We start from the raw sequence: 18,364 nt of genomic DNA, 5'->3' as shown, positions 1-18,364 counted from the left end.
TGTGTACCAATCATCATGGGCAATGATGAAGATGGATTAAGTTTGTTAATATATGACCTTTTCACGAAAACAGGTTATATATAAAACTATGAGTGGTTGTACTTCTTACAAAATATGTAATAGCAGCATTTGTGTCCAAGTTTCAGTTGCATGTCAGATTTGGTGAGTATTAAGATGTCAAGAACCTTGTGAACAATAATTTTGGACATTAAGTCTTAATCTATTTAAAAGATAAAAGATACAGCATTCACTATGTGCCAGGCACTGTGCTAGATGTTTATAATTATTATTACTAAAGCTACTGAAATTCATCCCTTCAACTCCTCCTTGGTTTTGAGCACCTCCTGTGTGCTGGATTATGCTAGATACCATGAGAATTTATGGACATAAAGCATAAAAAGGTTCCTATTCTTTAGAAGCATTATTTGTGAACAAGAAGATTGAAATATTAAATGTCAACAAAAGGCATATGATTTTGGACCCAGAGGATACAAGCAGTGTTATCAGAAGGGAAAGGGAGGCTTGACTGCTGTGGGATGAGACGGTCTAGAAAGGCTTTTAAGGCAGTAAGACATGAAAGGGGATATTGCATCCATATACACAGGGTCCACTATGAATCTGGTTTCTTTGCCCATACCCATGTATGCACATACTTGGAATATCTTCATGTAGATGACCCCAAAGTACCTCAAACTAAACATACTCACAACTAAATCCATTATCCTTCTCCGGAACCGAACTCTGCTCCTGGGTTCTGTCAGTTGGTTCTCTCTTGTTAATATCTCTTGAATTTGTGTTTTCCATTCCTACCATCTCACCAGTTAGAATGCCGTTTCAGTGATGAAGATGTGAAGAGAGACTGCACAGTGGCATTGGCAATGAGGAAAAAAGGAGTGAATACATTTAGGAGAGATGTTAAGGAAGTATAAAATTCTATAGACTTAGTGTCTGAGTGGATGGAGTGGGTGAGGAAAAGATTCTAAATTGATGCTTGGCATTCTGATTTAGGAAATCAGCCAAATTATGGCACCATACATGAGAGTTCAGAAGAAGCAACAGGTCTGAAGGGAATGTCCAGTATGTGGATCTGAGCCTATGGGGGAAGTCTCTGGCCAGAGGTGTAGTAGACACGGTAGGTTGTTGATATAGTAATCAGAATGCTTTCTGAAAGAATTGCAACTTGATACCTATGTATATTTAACAACACGGTCTACCACTGTGTATTTAAAAAAAGATGCTGCCATTGTTTACCTAATTTCATACTTGTAAAATTATCTTTTTTTATGAGGATATTCACATATTCAAAAGATGCTTTATTTTCTATATATTTTGTTCTCTTAAGGCTGGTACCAGATAAATAAATGTTGGTTTTTTAAATAAATTTCTTTGATGTAAAGTCTGTCTCTGTTGCCCAGACTGAAGTGCAGTGACACAATCTCAGCTCACTGCAACTTCTACCTTCTGGGCTCAAGCAATCCTCCCACCTCAGCCCCTGGAGTAGCTGGGACCACAGACACATAACACCAGGCCTGGCTGATTTTTGTATTTTATGTAGAGATAGAGTTTCACCATGTTGTCCAGGCTGGTCTCAAACTCCCGGGCTCAAGTGATCTACCCACCTCGGCCTCTCAAAATGCTGGGATTACAGGTGTAAACCCCTGCACCTGGCCTAAAATTAAACTAAAGTTTTAATTACTGAAAGTATCGGTGATTTGCTGACGCTACTAAAGCTTCATTTATTTTGTAGGTTGGACCTTCTATAGAGTTACTAATGAGCTTCTTGAGATAATCCCTAATGACATTTCAATTTTTTTCGAGGAATTAAATATTTTCTATTTTTTTATACCTTAAGTAACTGGTTATAAAGGGGAAAAGATAAGAACCCCACCCTCAAGGAGCTTACGAAGTAGTTTCAAGTATGTAAACTTACTTTTCAGAATGATTCTGTAATAGGAGGTTTGAGATATTGCTATTTCCATCTTAAAGATTCTGGAAGATTGAGACTCGCCCTGGGTTACACATCGGGGTGGAATTTGGAACCCAATCTTCCGTTTCCTGCTTCAGCGCGCATTTCACTTGACATTCACACATTTAAACACTGCTATTTTAGGTTTTACAATTTGACTTTTAAAGTAGACTGTGTATTAAAACAAAGATAACTATGTACACTCTGTTTAAATATTTCTAGTATGTTTCCCCATCCTCTCCTTAGTTATCACCCCTCACTAACAGCTGTACTTATAGGCTGTGCTTTAAAAAATGACCAATTTTCTTTTATAAACCTTCCTGCAAATCTTGCTATTATTGACATGTTTTCGCTTTTCCTTCAGACATCTAGGCACCCTTGCAAGAATAATAATTTTTCAAGATTTTCCTTGGCTGTCAAGAATCTTCAAAGAGACGGATAGTTTATTGAACAGTACAGATAGGTTCTATTGTTCCCATATTTTTGTTATTATTGTTTTTACTCTGACAGTGGGGTGGAAATTTAAAAACTTTTCCAGTATGGAAGAAGACCTTGTAATGCACTTAAATATTTGAGATATCAACATAACTAAATCCATTTACAAAGATTGAATATTGATGCTAAGATTATAAGAATACAGGCCATATTCCACTTTGCAAAGTAGATTAATACCCCTCAATTCAGTTAAATGGTACACTGCAGAAGAGGTCAGGGTAAGAGGAAAGAAGGCACTGTGTTAGGATGTCCTCCTCTTGGCATCTTTAAAATGACAAACATGGAGATTGATTTTGGCCAGGAATCTGGGGTATTGTCAGAACAACTCTATTTGAACAAGCTGTGCTTAGTGGTAAGAGGGAGTCAGAAGGATGTTGAAAAGGGGACAGAGAAGAAGAAAGATAAAGAAAAATTGGTCCTTTACCTCCTCACATACAATCTGTGAGATTATCTTCCTTAACTCATTCTGAAAAATCTTTCCTGAGCATCTACAATATGCCAAACCCAAGGCTAGGAATGGGAGGAAAACGCAGCAGTGGCCCTACCCTCAGTGGCCCATCTGTCCCTCTGTTTGTGTGGTTTATTTGCCTCTCTTCTCCTTTATCCTTTTCTAGTTCTTTACTGACATAATGAGATCCTAGTTTGTATGTGTATGTGCATGTGTTTAATTACATAGTTAATACATTTTAATCACCTCTTTATTTTTCATTGATTGTTAACTACTGTTGTAGCAACTTGATTAAATATTAAAAATAATAATCTAAACTTTGATACTGGCTTTCTAAATAGTCGCTGAACGGATGTTGCTCTTCAAAATAAGTACTAGGAGAAATAATAGTATTTTCTCCTTTGAGAGAAGGTTGGCTTTGGAAAGCTCGTGGCTCTTAGGTGAATGTGCATCTTGTAAAACAGTCTCTTTAGTAATGCAATCACTATTTTAATACATTGGGGACTAAAGATGGAAGCTTAAGGATTAAAATAAAATACCTTTTTCAACAAAAAATGTATTAATATATAGGTAGAGAGAGGGTACTGTTGTCTGTTGGGTAGATTCCTTGGCAAATAAACAGAAGGGAGTAGGATTGGGAATTTGTCCATCTGGTAACCAGACTTACAGGTAAATCAGTAAAATGAGTTAGCAGGAGTCAACCCAGTAAAGTTAGCTAAGACAAGACAATTACTAAAGTTTTCATTAGGCAAGCAAGATCAGGTTCTCAATGGTCAAGCAGTGAGATGCAAGCCAGACTAGGAAGTTAAGGAACAGAGTATCAGGGAATCATAAGAAAATTGTAATAAAATTTATTCAGCCATGGGGCTAGTTTTATTTATATAAAGCTATTTTAATATATAAAATATATACATAGTACAAAATCCAGAAGGTGCAGAATAGTAAACAACGAAAAGTCAGCCTTCTACCCCATTATACAATCTAAACTCCCCCTCCCAAGAGACAACCATAATTAACAATCTTTTATATAGCCTTGTAGAACATCTATGCACAAAGAAGTAAGTCGTAGTATAATATACACACTGTTTTTTTCACATATTTATACAATTTTTATTTTTTCAATGTATAGTATTTCAAGGCATGAATGGAACATGCTTTTTAAAACTAGTTCCTTATTATGAGACATTTAGGTCATTTCCAATCATCTGCTATTACAGATAATGATAGAGTGACTAACTTTATACATGCATCATTTAATACTGGAGTAGTCACTGAGCTTCAGAGAGAGCGACAGAGGGGGCTGGGACTTCGACTCCAGTGTTCTATCTCCATATTCAGAGCCCTTTAAGGTTAAGAATGTGGCTGGGCATAGTGGCTCATGCCTGTAATTGCAGCACTTTGGGAGGCTGAGGCGGGCGGATCACTTAAGGTCAGGAGTTCGAGACCAGCCTGGCCAACATGGCGAAACCCCATCTCTACTAAAAATACAAAAATTAGCCTGGCATGGTGGTGGGCACCTGTAATCCCAGCTACTGGGGAGGCTGAGGCAGGAGACTCACTTGAACCAGGAGCCAGAGGTTGTAGTGAGCTCACGCCACTGCACTCTAGCCTGGGCCCCGTGCTAGACTCCGTGCCCCGCACCCCCCCCCAAAGAGAATGTGTGTGTGATTAAAATTTAAGTTAGAGACAGTCTCACTATGTTGCCCAGGCTGGTCTCAAACTCCTGGCCTCAAGTGATCCTCCTGCCTTGGCCTCCCAAAGTGCTAGGATTACAAGGGCTAAGAATTCTAGTCATTCATTCACTCACTCATTCATTCATTCATGAATAAACAGTTTGCCCTGCATGTGTACCTGGCCCCCTCCTGGGCGGATACGGCAGGCAAACGGTGCAAGGGCGGCTGCCGGGAGAAGGTGGGCAGCTGGAGTGGGACTGGGGGAGACAGGATCAATGTGACCTGCGGTGGTCCCCAGGTGGCCGGGATGCAGTACCTGCACGGCGTCCTGGGCCCCATCATCAACAAGGTGTTTGAGGAGAAGAAGTACGTGGAGCTGGACCCCAGCAAAGTGGAAGTTAAGGATGTAGGGTGAGGCCGGGGGTAACTCCGGGGGTTGCGGGGTGCAGCGGCAGCGGGTTGGGATCAGGCCCTGTCAGCATGTGTGTTTGTGCTTCTGCCCACCCGTGTATTGTCCCCTGTGTCCGTGTCCTGGCTGCTGTGAGAGCCACTGTTCCTGTCGTGGCCCTGGCGCTGACCGCGACCTCCTCTGCCAACCCGCCCCGTTCCACGCAGGTGCTCCAGGCTGCACCGCCCGCAGACCGAGGCCGAGGTGCTGGAGCAGAGCGCGCAGACGCTGCGCGCCCACCTGGGGGCCCTGCTGAGCGCGCTCAGCCGCTCGGTTCGCGCGTGCCCCGCCGTGGTGCGCGCCACCTTCCGCCAGCTCTTCCGGCGCGTGCGCGAGCGCTTCCCCGGCGCCCAGCACGAGGTGCGCCCTCCACCCGCTGGGCTAGGCTGGGCCGGGTTGGACTGGGCTGGGGCGAGGAGTGAAGAGCGGTGGGGAACCAGGGAGCGCTGGGGAGGACCAGGGAGGCTGTGTCGCAGCGAGGGTCAGGGACAGAGCCTAAGGGGAGGGGGCTGCCAGGAGCCCTGGTCTGGGGGACTCCAGCCCGCGCTCTTCCGCACCCCTCCAGAATGTACCGTTCATCGCCGTCACCAGCTTCCTGTGCCTGCGCTTCTTCTCCCCCGCCATCATGTCGCCCAAGCTCTTCCACCTGCGGGAGCGCCACGCGGACGCCCGCACCAGCCGCACCCTGCTCCTGTTGGCTAAGGTGCGGGCCTTGCGGCCACGGGCGGGATGCACAGCTGGGTGTCCTACCGGGGCCCTGGCCTGGACTGCAGAGTGTTCCCTACCGGCTCCGGCGAGGCCACTGGCACGCCCACGTAGGCACTGCACTTCACAGTTTGCAAAGCCTTCCTGTGGCCACCTTGTCCGAGCTCCATCTCATGGATAAGGGAACAGGCCTGCGAGGGGTCGGGGGTTGCCAAGGCCGCCCATCCTGTCGGTGGTGAATCGCGGGACCTTCCAACCCGGGTCTGCTTACTCTCAGGCTGCACCTATGTGCCCGGCACCGGGGTGGGGTATCCAGTGCAGCAGCGTCAGTTAAACCTACAGAGGAAGGCCCAAGTGGTCTCAGTTATCATAAGGCATCAAACTTCATGATCCTCTCCTCCCTGATCCCTAGTGGGGCTGGAGGGGGCCCGTGGGCATGGCCTCTGTCGCCTCTGCCTCCATCGCTACAGCTGAGTAGCAAAGACTTGGGGAGGGGGGGTGGGAGGGGGTGCAGTGGCTAGGCCCCTAACCTAGCAGAACCTGGTCCTTCCTGCTGTCACCTCCAGGCAGTCCAGAACGTGGGCAACATGGACACGCCGGCTTCCAGGGCCAAGGAGGCTTGGATGGAGCCGCTGCAGCCCACCGTGCGCCAGGGCGTGGCGCAGCTGAAGGACTTCATCACCAAGCTCGTGGACATCGAGGAGAAGGACGGTGAGCGCCGCCCTGCACAGACCCGCCCACAGCCTACTGCTGACGTTTGCTCCGCCCTTGAGCCCCACGGCCCCACCCATCGCTGTTTGTTCCTCTCGTGGCCCCACCCACCGCCTGCTGTTGGCATTTGCCAGGCCCCCAGGCCATAGACCCACGCACCACTGTTTGTGCTTCCTGTGACCCTGCCCACTGCCTGCCGTTGACGTTTGCCCCACCCCTAGACCCATGGCCTCACCCCCGCATCATCTGCGCCTGTTGACATTTGCTCCATCCTTGAGCTCCATAGCCCCGCCGCCACCTGCTACTGACGCGTGTCCCGCCTCCAAGCCCATGGCCCTGCCTTCCTCAGTCCACCTGTCACCCCGCTCACCACCAGCTGTTGATGTTTGCTCCGCCCTTGAGCCCCATGACTACGTCCACTGCCTGCTGTTCAGATTTGCTCAGCCCTTGAGCCCCATGGCCCCTCCCACTGCTCCGCTCCCCCCAGTCCCGCCCTCATTCACTGGGCTCTCTATTCCCCTCCCTCCCTGGCCTGGCAGAGCTGGACCTGCAGCGGACGCTGAGTTTGCAGGCGCCACCTGTGAAGGAGGGGCCACTCTTCATCCACAGGACCAAGGGCAAGGGCCCCCTCATGTCCTCCTCCTTCAAGAAGCTCTACTTCTCCCTCACTACCGAGGCCCTCAGCTTCGCGAAGACGCCCAGCTCCAAGGTGGGTAAGGAGGGAGGCCGGCAAGTGGGGCTCTGAGAGGCCGGCAAGTGGGGCACCTGTCCCCTTCCTTGGAGCCCACTTGAGGTACCCCTGGGGTCAGAGAAGAAAGCCAGGTGTGTGGCATCTGTACTGCTTGTCAGAACCTAGGAGGGCCGGGCACGGTGGCTCACGCCTGTAATCCCAGGACTTTGGGAGGCCAAGGCGGGTGGATCACTTGAGGTTAGGAGTTTGAGACCAGCCTGGCCAACATGGAGAAACCCCGTCTCTACTAAAAATACAAAAAATCAGCCGGGTGTGGTGGTGGGTGCCTGTAGTCCCAGCTACTTGGGGGGCTGAGGCAGGAGAATCACTTGAACCTGGGAGGTGGAGGTTGCAGTGAGCTGAGATCGAGCCACTGCACTCCAGCCTGGTGACAGAGCAAGACTCCATCTCAAAATAAATAAATTAATTAATTAGTAAATTAATTAAAGAGTGGTCAGGGAGGACCTCTGATGGGTGGCATTCGAGCAGGGACCTTGTAGGAGGGTGACCCAGATGTGTGTCTAGGGCAGGGACATGTGGGACAAGTAAGAAGCCTGCAGCTGGAGGGGGGTTGGTTTCTTCCGGGCTTGACCGTCCTGGCCTGTGGGGAGGAAGTCACAGACCTGTCCCTCTGTGCCCTTCCCTCTAGGAGTTCCCTTTTGTGTCAGGGTCCAGAGCCACTGGGAAAAGTAGTGATATCAGGGCCACCAAATATATTTGGCGGGTTCTGGAATACCTACGAGCGTGGCCAAGGGGCCAGCGGCGGCTGAAATCCAGCCCACACCAGCCTCCTGGGCTCCTACCATCCCGGTGCCTTCCGTGGGGACAAGTGGAGCTGCTGCCACCAAAAAGACGAGACAGGTGGGAGAGGAGAGGATGAAGTCTTGCTGTGTTGCCCAGGCTGGTCTTGAATTCCTGGGCTCAAGCGATCCTCCCACCTCGGCCCCCTATAATCCCAGCTGTAGTCCCAGCACTTTGGGAGGCTGAGGTGGGAGGATCACTGGAGGCCAGGAGTTTGAGAACAGCCTGGCCAATGTAGCAAGACCCCATCTCTAAAAAAAAGGAATTAGCCAGCCATGATGGCATTATAGGAGTGAGCCACTGGGATTATAGGAGTGAGCCACTGCACCTGCTCTCCAGGCCATGCGCCCGGGCATGGGTCATGTTCCACTGGAGGAAGGGCAGCTTCTCCTAATTCACTCAAAGCTGCTGGGTTGGTATGGTGGGGAACATGGCGTCTGGCGTGGTACAGGAGCTCCGGGTTAGGAGGGCTTCCTGGAGGAGGTGACGTCTGAACAGGCCTCCCCCTCCGTGTCCCCTGCAGTGTGTGAATGAGCTTAACCAGTGGCTGTCTGCGCTGTGGAAGGTGAGCATCAACAACACCGGACTGCTGGGCTCCTACCACCCTGGCGTCTTCCGTGGGGACAAGTGGAGCTGCTGCCACCAAAAAGAGAAGACAGGTGGGAGAGGAGGCCTGGGTCCCGGGCTCTGCATCCGTCCACTGCGAGATCGGGCCTCTGGCTGAACGATGGGACCCTGAGCCCTGCTGTGCACCTGCAGGGACCTAACCCAAGGAATGCTGGCCCCTCCAGGAGCTCTGGGCAGAAAGGGTCCCGTGGACCAGGTGGTTTGGGAAATGCCACGTGATGTGTGTGATGCATATGAGTGAATTCGCTGAAGGCTCTAAGGAGGCCCGAAAACACGTTAGAATCCCATTTCTTTTTATTTCTTCTTCTTCTTTTTTTTTTTTTTTTCAGACACAGACTTTCACTCTGTCCCCCAGACTGGAGTGCAATGGCACGATCTCAGCTCGCTGCAATCTCCACCTCCCAGGGTCAAGCAATTCTCCTGCCTCAACCTCCCCAGTAGCTGGGATGACCGGCACTCGCCACCAAGCCTAGCTAATTTTTTTGTATTTTGACTAGAGATGGGGTTTCACCATGTTAGTCAAGCTGCTCTTGTTTTGTTGTTGTTGTTGTTGTTGTTGTTGTTGTTGTTTGATACTGAGTCTCGCTCTATCATCCAGGCTGGAGTGCAGTGGTGCAATCTCGGCTCACTGCAATCTCCGTTTCCCAGGCTCAAGTGATTCTCCTGCCTCAGCCTCCCAAGTACTACAGGCGCAAGCCACTGCACCCAGCTAAGTTTTGTATTTTCAGTAAAGACGGGGTTTTACCATGTTGGCCAGGCTGGTCTTGAACTCCCGACCTCGTGATCTGCCCTCCTCGGCCTCCCAAAGTGCTGGGATTACAGGTGTGAGCCACCACGCCCGGCCTAGAATTCCATTTCTAACGTGGTTTAACCCAGCACTTCCCAAACTCTTTTGACAGGGAACCCTTCTCTTCCCCAAGGAGCTTCTTACAGAACAGGTGTTCTCAGGAACACATTCGAGGAGCCCCCTGCTAATGAGAGCCAGAGAGCCCCTGGGTTCGCACACTCCAATGCTGGCCATCTGAATCCGGAGCTGTGGGTGGGAGGGGACCCTGAGCCTTGGGCACTAGAGGGATGGCATAGAGGAGCTTCTAGAAGGACTCCATACTGTGTAGTACTCTAGGTTCTAGCACCTGTGGTTCTTGAGCACTTGAAATGTGGCTTGAGGAGCTGAGGGGTTTTTTTTGTTTAATTTTTTAAAACAGGGTCTTGCTCTGTTGCCCAGGCTGGAGTGCAGTGGCACGATCATAGCTCACTGCAGCCTCCAACTCCTGGGCTCAAGCAATCCTCCTGCCTCAGCCTCTGAGTAGGCTGGCACTACCGGCATGCATCACCACACCTGGCTCATTTAAAAAAAATTGTTTTAGAGGTGGGGTCTTGCTATGTTGTTCAGGCTGGTCTTGAATTCCCAGGCTCAAGCAATCCTCCTGCCTCGGCCTCCCAAAGTGCTGAGATTGTAGGAGTGAGCCACCACATCTGGCCTGAGTTTCACATTTTTAAAAATGTTGTTTTGGCCGGGTGTGGTGGCTCACGCCTGTAATCCTAGCACTTTGGGAGGCCAAGGTAGGCGGATTGCCTGAGCTCAGGAGTTAGAGACGAGCCTAGGCAACATGGTGAAACCCCATCTCTGCTAAAATACAAAAAAAAAATTAGCCAGGCATGGCGGCGTGGGCCTGTAGTCCCAGCTACTCAGGAGGCTGAGGCAGGAGAACTGCTTGAACCTGGGAGGCAGAGGTTGCAGTAAGCCAAGATGGTGCCACTGCACTCCAGCCTGGCGACAGAGCGAGACTCCATCTCAAAAAAAAAAAAAAAAAAAAAAAAAAAAAAAAAAACAAAAAAAAAACAAACAGAAAAGAAACAAAAAACGTTGTTTTAATTTTAATTAACTCAAATAGCTTCATGTGGCTAGCTGCCGCCCTGTAGAACAGCACAGTTCTAGAACTTTCGAGACCTTCTCCCTGTTATCCACACTTACTTTACAGAGTAGACTCAGCACTTCGAGTCCCCTGTCCTTCAGGCCAGGCCAAATCTTGGTCCCCAGAGCCCAGTGTGGCAGAGGCCATCGAAAACTGACCCACGCACTCTAGCCCAGCCCTGGATTTACAGCCAAGCACTGTATAGGGATGGGTGACTCTTTTGTTTTTGTTTTTGTTTTGAGTTGGGTCTCTCACTCTCTCACCCAGGCTGGAGTGCAGTGGCATAATCATAGCTCACTGTAGCCTTGACCTCCTGGGCTCAAGCCATCCTCCTGCCTCAGCCTCCTGCAGAACTGGGACTACAGGCACATGCCACCACACCCAGCTATTTTTTATTTTATTTTTTTGTAGAGTCAGGGTCTCACTATGTTGCCCAGACTGGTCTTGAAATCCTGGCCTCAAGCTATCTTCCTGCCTCAGCCTCCCAAAGTGCTGGGATTACAGGTGTGAGCCACTGTGCCTGGCCTCTTGGTGACTCTTTGCAAGGGCATTGCTGGCTGGCTGATATGGCCTGCAGCCTCTGCCTGTAACCATCAGAGCCATACTCTCATTATCGGCAAGGTGGGACCCACCCTGGCCCAAGAGACAGGGCCTGTTATTCCACTGTATGGAGGAGAAGCTGAGGCTTAGGGAAGGCAGATGACTTGGCAAGGTCATAAAGACAGCAAGCTGCAGGACCAGCTCATTCTAAGGCATGAACCCCCTGTGGCCCACCTCACCATGATGTTAACATTTCAGCCTGCTCCATTCCAGGCAGACAGTCTTCCAGAAAGTTACCCGGCTCCCTGGCTGGGCGCAGTGGCTCACGCCTGTAATCTCAGCACTTTGGGAGGCCGAGACGGGTGGATCACGAGGTCAGGAGATCGAGACCATCCTGGCTAACACAGTGAAACCCCGTCTCTACTAAAAATATAAAAAATTAGCTGGGCGTGGTGGCGGGCATCTGCAGTCCCAGCTACTCAGGAGGCTGAAACAGGAGAATGGCGTGAACCTGGGAGGCAGAGCTCGCAGTGAGCCAAGATCGCGCCACTGCACTGCAGCCTGCACGACAGAGCGAGACTCCGTCTCAAAAAAAACCAAAAGTTACCCAGCAACCCAAGTCATATCCTGATGATATCCATACTCCTCAGTCATGCATCCCGTGGTGCAGGGGCTGACCCCAAGAGGAGCTGCTGCCCCCAGAGGGTGGGGAGCCGAGGCAGGGCCTGGGTCAGACTTACCAGGCTATGCTCCCAGCCCAGCCCTCACTAGGGACCCCCGAGTGCATCTCTCTCCTCTCCAGGCCTCTGTTTCTCCATCTGTGCAACCACAGTGTTGGACATGGTAGTCCCAAGTGTCTGCTCGTAACTTTGCCCTCTCTGTGCCCCCAGGTCAGGGCTGCGATAAGACCCGGTCACGGGTGACCCTGCAGGAGTGGAATGACCCTCTTGACCATGACCTTGAGGCCCAGCTCATCTACCGGCACCTGCTGGGCGTGGAGGCCATGCTGTGGTGAGTCCCACCCAGGAGAGCCTGTGCAGCCTGGGGAACGTGCCAGGCTTGGGGCTGCTCCATGGTGGCTGGTCACCTCTCTTGTAATTGGCCACATCTGGGGAGGGCACCAGGAGTACCTCTCTGCAGCACGAGGCCAGCTCAGGTTAGGACAGAGGCCCCAAGGGTCAGGGCCATGCCTGCTTCATGCCATGTGCTGACTGAGCCCACCTTGCAACCTGCCCAGCTGTTCCCCTGGGCCCTTGGAGTACAGGCACAGCCTCAGCCAATTCCCTGAGTTCCCTGGCCATCTTGCTTCATCCAGTGGTTCTCAGCCTTGGCAGAAGCTTAGAAAAAACAAGATGCTTTTAAAGATCAGCTTTAAAAAACAGGATGCCAAGGCCCCATCACTCAGGGTCTCTGGAGATGTGGCTGGTGCCAGGATACTTCAAGGTGATCCAGTGCTTCCCATGCGCTCAGCTTCCCCTGAGCCAACTGGAGCTGGAGCTCATTCATCTGTCACACCCCTACACTCTGCAAGGAGGAAGGGTGTGGTCCTCCCCATTCCTCATCGACTCTTCCAGGGTTTATCTCTGCCCTCAAAACCCACGAAGGTGGGGTGCGGTGACTCATGCCTGTTATCCCAGCTCTTTGGGAGGTGGAGGCAGGCAGATTGTTGGAGATCAGGAGTTTGAAACCAGCCTGGCCAACATGGCGAAACCTCTTCTCTACTAAAAATACAAAAATTAACTGATGTGGTGGAGGGTGCCTGTAATCCCAGCTACTCAGGAGGCTGAGGCAGGAGAATTGCTTGAACCCAGGAGGTGGAAGTTGCAGTGAGCTTAGATTGCGCCACTGCACTCCAGCCTGGACCGCAGAACAAGACTCTGTCTCAAAAACAAAACAAAACAAATGCAAAGGGCCTTCTGGTCAACCCACAGTGGGATGGGGAGGAGGAGGAGACACGGGGAGGGAGAAGGTGGAAGGTGCCCTGGTGGGCCTTGGCCCAGCCTCTTCACAGACTGAAAGAGTCAGCCCTGCCATCACCCCCAGAGCCACCTCTAGCCCAGGAGGCCCATGCTGGGCCACCCCCAGCCTTCCCACAAGGACACCAGAAGGTCTGGCAGGGAGAGTAGAGGCTGCTGGCCCTCACTCTGACCTCCCCCACAGGGAGAGGCACCGGGAGCTGAGCGGGGGCGCAGAGGCAGGCACGGTGCCCACGAGCCCTGGCAAAGGTAGGTCTTGCCCACCTGGGACTTGCTCGTGGCCCGAGCCCCCTCCAGAGATGCACGGGTGGGGTCCTCGGGCTCACTCCCAGGGGCCCTCACGGCTGCCTCTGCCCACAGTCCCTGAGGACTCATTGGCCCGGCTGCTCCGGGTGCTGCAGGACCTCCGCGAGGCCCATAGCTCCAGCCCGGCCGGCTCCCCACCCTCAGAGCCCAACTGCCTCCTGGAGCTGCAGACGTGAGGCCCGCCCTACGCTCCCCTTGCTGAGTCCCCTGCCAAGCGCTCGGAGCCCCCCCAGGACACTCTGCACCCCCTCACCCCGGTCCTCCTCATTAGGGTGCAGGGCCTAGGTCTCTTCCAGGTGGGGGAGGGGAGAGAGTCAGGAATAAGGGGATCCCCAGAAGTGCAGAGCTGAGCAGGCTTGGGCCTGTCATGGCTGGCCGGAAGTGTCCCCAGCTCCCTACAGACGCTGTAGCCATCACTGCCTCTCCAGGGACCCTCCTCTCCTGCCCAGGACAGACCCAGCCAGAACCACTGCTAGGATGGGCCGCACCCAGGGGTCTGGCCTCCAGGGACCTAGAGAATGGGAGGGAGAACGGGGCCCCAGGAGACCCGGCCGCCACCCCACCCGCTACCCTTGGGTGCCACAGGGCTGTGCTGTTGCCAACAGTAAACCTGCTCTTACTGTCCAGGCTCTGGGGTCTTGTGATGAGGGTCTGGGGAGAAAGTGGGCCCGGGGGGACCCCGGAGGCTGTCGGTGGATGTGCCGATGATGGGGCTGACAGTATGGGCTCTGGGCATCCCTGTTCCCCCCTCTTTCTTCCCCCCACTCTTCTGGGGTCGGGGGTTCCTTTCCCTTCCCAGTTGCTGTCCCTGGGTCCCCTCTTTCATGTCCCACAGGCCACAGAGCCCAGTGTGTCCAACCAGCTGTTCTCTCCTCAAAGCAGCCCCCAAGCAAGTCCCTTCTCTAGGGTGTCCCTGAGGACAGCACAGAGGCGGGACTCAGAGACCCCATTCCTCTTCACGCAGCCCTTACCCCAAGCCCTCTAGCTGTGTGGCTGGCAGTGTTGGCCACGTAGGGGCTCCCATCCCCCCACCATTGTGTCACATGGGCTGCCAGGCTCAGCTCCCAGCTGCGTCCACAGTGACCTGGATCAGGGTGGGGACAAGGACTGGACCCTCCTTCTCCAGAAGGCCTTCAGCTCTTGCCTTGCCATGCAGTCACCTCCTTCCCCCTCTGACCCCAGATCCCAAAGGTGCACCGTTGCCCCAGCCCCTTTCTGGCCCCATGGGGTTTCTCTGATGCCTTCATCATAGAGGCCCGGGGCTGGTCCGATGGTTGGCAAAACTTGACTCCGGCCCAGTCCCCACTCTTGGGGACTTAGAACCCCTGCTGTCCTGGGATCTGGCCTGCCTTTCTTTGGTCAGTCCCTGTGGTCCCCCACCAGCTCCCCCTCCCATAGGGCTGCCCACCAAGCCCTGCCCCCAGCCCAAGAGGAGCCCCCACTGCCTGCGGGGCAGTGATGTCTGGCCACCGGCTCACACCAATGACTTGGTCCTGGGGTGGCAGAAGCAGCAGGTGACAGGAGCAGGGCCCCTGTCCCTCTCTTCTGGCCCTGTGGTACCCAGGCCACACGTTGTGCCCGCTCTTGGGGCTGACCGGCTGTAGGGACCACCAGCCGCTGCTACTGTGGGCCGCCCCGGGGCAAGGTGGGCAGGGCTTTTGTGGGTTATGAGGACACAGAAGTCCCTGAGGCCCCCAGACCTGGCTCAGCCAACCTCCTTCCTCCCCCGGTTGCCCCCCACTCTAAAGCCTCCTCCCTCCCAGCGTCCACTGGCTCCAGGCTCCTCACAACAGCAGCTCATAGACACGGGGCGTCTCCAGGTGGTCCCAGCCCTCCAGATGTTTCTAGCTCTCCAGGTGGGCGCTGTTTTCACGTCTGCCTGCATCCATTCATTCCTTCATTCCTCACCTTTATCCTGTTATCTCTATTTTTTTAAGCTACCAGGAAGGAAAGGGAAGAAGAGATCACGAAACTGGGACCCCCAGAAGGGAGGAGTGGGCTTTGAACTTAGACATCTACCTCAGGCTCAAATAGGTTGTTTAAAATCACATTCAATTTTCAGATGAAGGGGAACTTTATAGTTTTTTTTTTTTTTTTTTTTTTGAGACAGAGTCTCACTGTGTTGCCCAGGCTGGAGTGCAAATGGCTTGATCTTGGTTCACTGCAACCTCTGCCTCCCAGGTTCAAGCAATTCTCTTGCCTCAGCCTCCCGAGTAGCTGGGACTAAAGGCGTGTGCCACCATGCCCAGCTAATTCTTGTATTTTTAGTAGAGACGGAGTTTCTCCATGTTGGCCAGACTGGTCTCGAACTCCTGACCTCAGGTGATCTGACCGCCTTGGCCTCCGAAAGTGCTGAGATTACAGTTGCGAGCCACTGTGCGTGGCCAGAACTTTATAATAAGAGACTTGAAGCTGGGTGTGACGGTGCACACCTCTAGTCCCAGCTACTCGGGAGGCCAAGACAGAAGGATCACCTTGAGGCCAGGAGTTTAAGGCCAGCCTGGGCAACATAGCAAAACCTAGTCCCTAAAATTAAAAAAAAAAAAAAAAAAAAAAAGGAAAATAAAGGAGACTTGAAATTTTTGAACTAAATAGTGGTGATGGCTACACATTGTGAATGTAATTAACACCACTGAGTTAAACACTTAAAATGGTTAAAATGGCAAATTGTATGTTATACCTATTTTACTACAATAAAAAGTATAAAAAAGAGAAGATATTTAGGTGACTTACAGCAACCAATTGCAACAAAACAAAATGTTAAGAAATGATCTTTTTATGAGGCAATTGGAAATTTGAACACTGATCAACTATAGGATGATTGGAATTATTAATTTTGTAAAGGTGTGATAAGATACTGCACTTGGCTGGGCACAGTGGCACATGCCTGTAATCCCAGCTACTTGGCAGGCTGAGGTGGGAGAATCGCTTGAGCTCAGGAGTTCGAGACCAGCCTGGGCAACGTGGCGAAATCCCCGTCTTTACAAAAACAAACAAACAAACAAAAAAGATATTGCAGTTGTGTTGTAAGCGTCCTTATCTTTCAGAGCTACATAGTGGAATGTTTATGGAATATTTAGGATAAATGATATAGGCATTTGGGATTTGCTGCAAAATGACCCAGAGGCAGGGGTCAGGGGGAGAGGTAGAGATGAGACAAGAGGTAGAGGGGAGAGGTAGAGGTAGCCACGAGCTGATAATTACAGACAAGAGATGCGGAGTATGTGGGGGCTCATTATCCTGCATAGTCTATCTTTGTATATCTTTGAACTTTTCAAGAATAAAAAAGCTTAAAAAGTATACATGGCCTGGTCCTACCAGAGACTCACCCAATGCCAGCCTCCAGCCAGGGAGAGCCAAGTTTGCATTTTCACACGCATCTCACACTCCTCTGCACTCTCAACTTGGAGCGCTCCAAACAGGGAAACCCCAAGCCTTGCTGGCTTCTGCCAACCCCCTGAGCAGAAGCATGGGTCCCCCTGATCACCACCTCACCACCCTCATCCTGATCTCACTGTACACAGCAAGCAAACCCCAGTGTAATTAACAAGACTGAGGATACCTGTAATCCCAGCACTTTGGGAGGCTGAGGCCGGCAGATCACATGAGTTCAGGAGTTCGAGACCAGCCTGGCAAACCATGGCCAACATGGCAAAGCCCAGTCTCTACTAAAAACACAGAAATTAGCCAGGTGCGGTGGTGCGCATCTGTAACCCCTACTACTTAGGAGAATTGGATTGAACCCGGGAGGCGGAGGTTGCAGTGAACTGAGATCGCACCACTGCACTCCAGCCTGGGTGACAGAGTGATTCTCCATCTCAAAAAAAAAAAAAACAACAACAAGACAGAGGAGAGGAGGGGCAGAGTCTTCCAGAACATCTTTTTTTTTTTTTTTTTTTTTTTTTTTTTTTTGAGACAGAGTCTTACTGTGTTGCCCAGGCTGGAGTGGAGTGGAGTGATCATAACTCACTGCGGCTTCCAACTCCTGAGTTCAAGTGATCCTCCTGCCTCAGCCTTCTGAGTAGCTGGGACTACAGGTGTGCACCATCATGCCCAGCTAATTTTTTGTACTTTTGGTAGAGACAGGGTCTCACCATGTTGTCCAGGTTGGTCTCCAACTCCTGGGCTCAAGCCATCCTCCCACTTCAGCCTCCCAGAGCGCTGGGATTACAGGACCACCGCACCCAGCCACGAACACATTCTCAACACTCATCCAAGCAAGCTCTGAGCCTCCCCTTTGTCCTTAGCCTAGGACAGCCCCTAGTGTCCCAGGGCTCAGACATGACCCCTGACCTGGCTGCCCAGCTAGGTTCTGGGGCAGGGCCAGTGGGGCATCCTGTATACCTTGGCTCTTCCAGGAATAGTAGGGAAAGGCAAAGAGGGCTGGGCACGGTGGCTCATGCCTGTAATCCCAGTACTTTGGGAGGCCAAGGTGGGTGGATCACCTGAAGTCAGGAGTTAGAGACCAGCCTGGTCAACATGGTGAAACCCTGTCTCTACTAAAAATACAAAAATTAGCTGGGCATGGTGGCAGGTGCCTGTAATCACTACTTGAGAGGCTGAGGCAGGAGAATTGCTTGAATTTAGGAGGTGGAGGTTGCAGTGAGCCGAGATCGGGCCACTCCACTCCAGCCTGGGTGACAGAGAGACGCTGTCTCAAAAAAAAAAATAAAAAGGTCAAGGGGAAATTAAGATTCAAGGGGCCTGCCCTCTCCCTCTTCCCTATGGCTTTTGGGGCCATACCAACCTTTTCTTCTGGCTGTGGCCTTGGTGGATACCATTTTCCCCATAGGCAGCCCACCAGCCTGACCCCTTAGAGCTTCATAGCCTGCTGTGCTCTGCCGTCCTATGGGCTCCTAAGCCTTTTTGCTGGATTGGGTCCCTCCCCTCCCTTCCTGGCCCAAGGCCCTGGGTCCAGGGACAGCTGAGCCTGATGCAGCCCCTACCCCACCCCAAATCACCAGCACCTGGTTCTCTGGCTACTTCCTTAGGGGTACACAAAAATCCTCATGCCTGTTGGAT

General features: G+C 51.7%; 1 long non-coding RNA gene and 1 pseudogene across 2 annotated transcripts in view, besides 1 other annotated feature; one reads left to right on the top strand and one right to left on the bottom strand.

The window, feature by feature from the left end:
• The window catches only part of RASA4DP (RAS p21 protein activator 4D, pseudogene), a 69,987-nt pseudogene extending 53,345 nt beyond the window's left edge, over positions 1-16,642 (top strand). Inside the window, exons 4-12 of the transcript NR_146066.1 lie at positions 4,881-4,993; positions 5,198-5,390; positions 5,596-5,733; positions 6,302-6,446; positions 6,986-7,155; positions 8,501-8,636; positions 11,951-12,071; positions 13,221-13,285; positions 13,397-16,642. The product of NR_146066.1 is annotated as an RAS p21 protein activator 4D, pseudogene (transcript). The remainder of the gene's footprint in view (positions 1-4,880; positions 4,994-5,197; positions 5,391-5,595; positions 5,734-6,301; positions 6,447-6,985; positions 7,156-8,500; positions 8,637-11,950; positions 12,072-13,220; positions 13,286-13,396) is intronic.
• On the bottom strand, positions 3,741-6,363 carry LOC124901713 (uncharacterized). The gene is made up of 2 exons (XR_007060461.1): positions 6,266-6,363; positions 3,741-6,071 (listed from the first exon to the last, which is right to left on the bottom strand). It is a non-coding gene; the product is annotated as an uncharacterized LOC124901713 (long non-coding RNA).
• Positions 13,919-14,696: an enhancer, noted in NCBI's record as "H3K4me1 hESC enhancer chr7:102321101-102321878 (GRCh37/hg19 assembly coordinates)". NCBI's record gives its function as "activates a minimal SCP1, AML or CMV promoter by ChIP-STARR-seq in naive H9 embryonic stem cells {active_cell/tissue: H9 hESC(naive)}" and the evidence as "EXISTENCE:reporter gene assay evidence [ECO:0000049][PMID:30033119]".
• Positions 16,643-18,364: the final 1,722 nt, after the last annotated feature.

Source organism: Homo sapiens, chromosome 7, assembly GCF_000001405.40.
Source record: "Homo sapiens chromosome 7, GRCh38.p14 Primary Assembly".
In the NCBI taxonomy this organism is placed as follows: Eukaryota; Metazoa; Chordata; class Mammalia; order Primates; family Hominidae; genus Homo; species Homo sapiens.
Note: the sequence above shows the minus strand (reverse complement) of the source record. Positions and strands in the feature narration are given on the sequence as shown.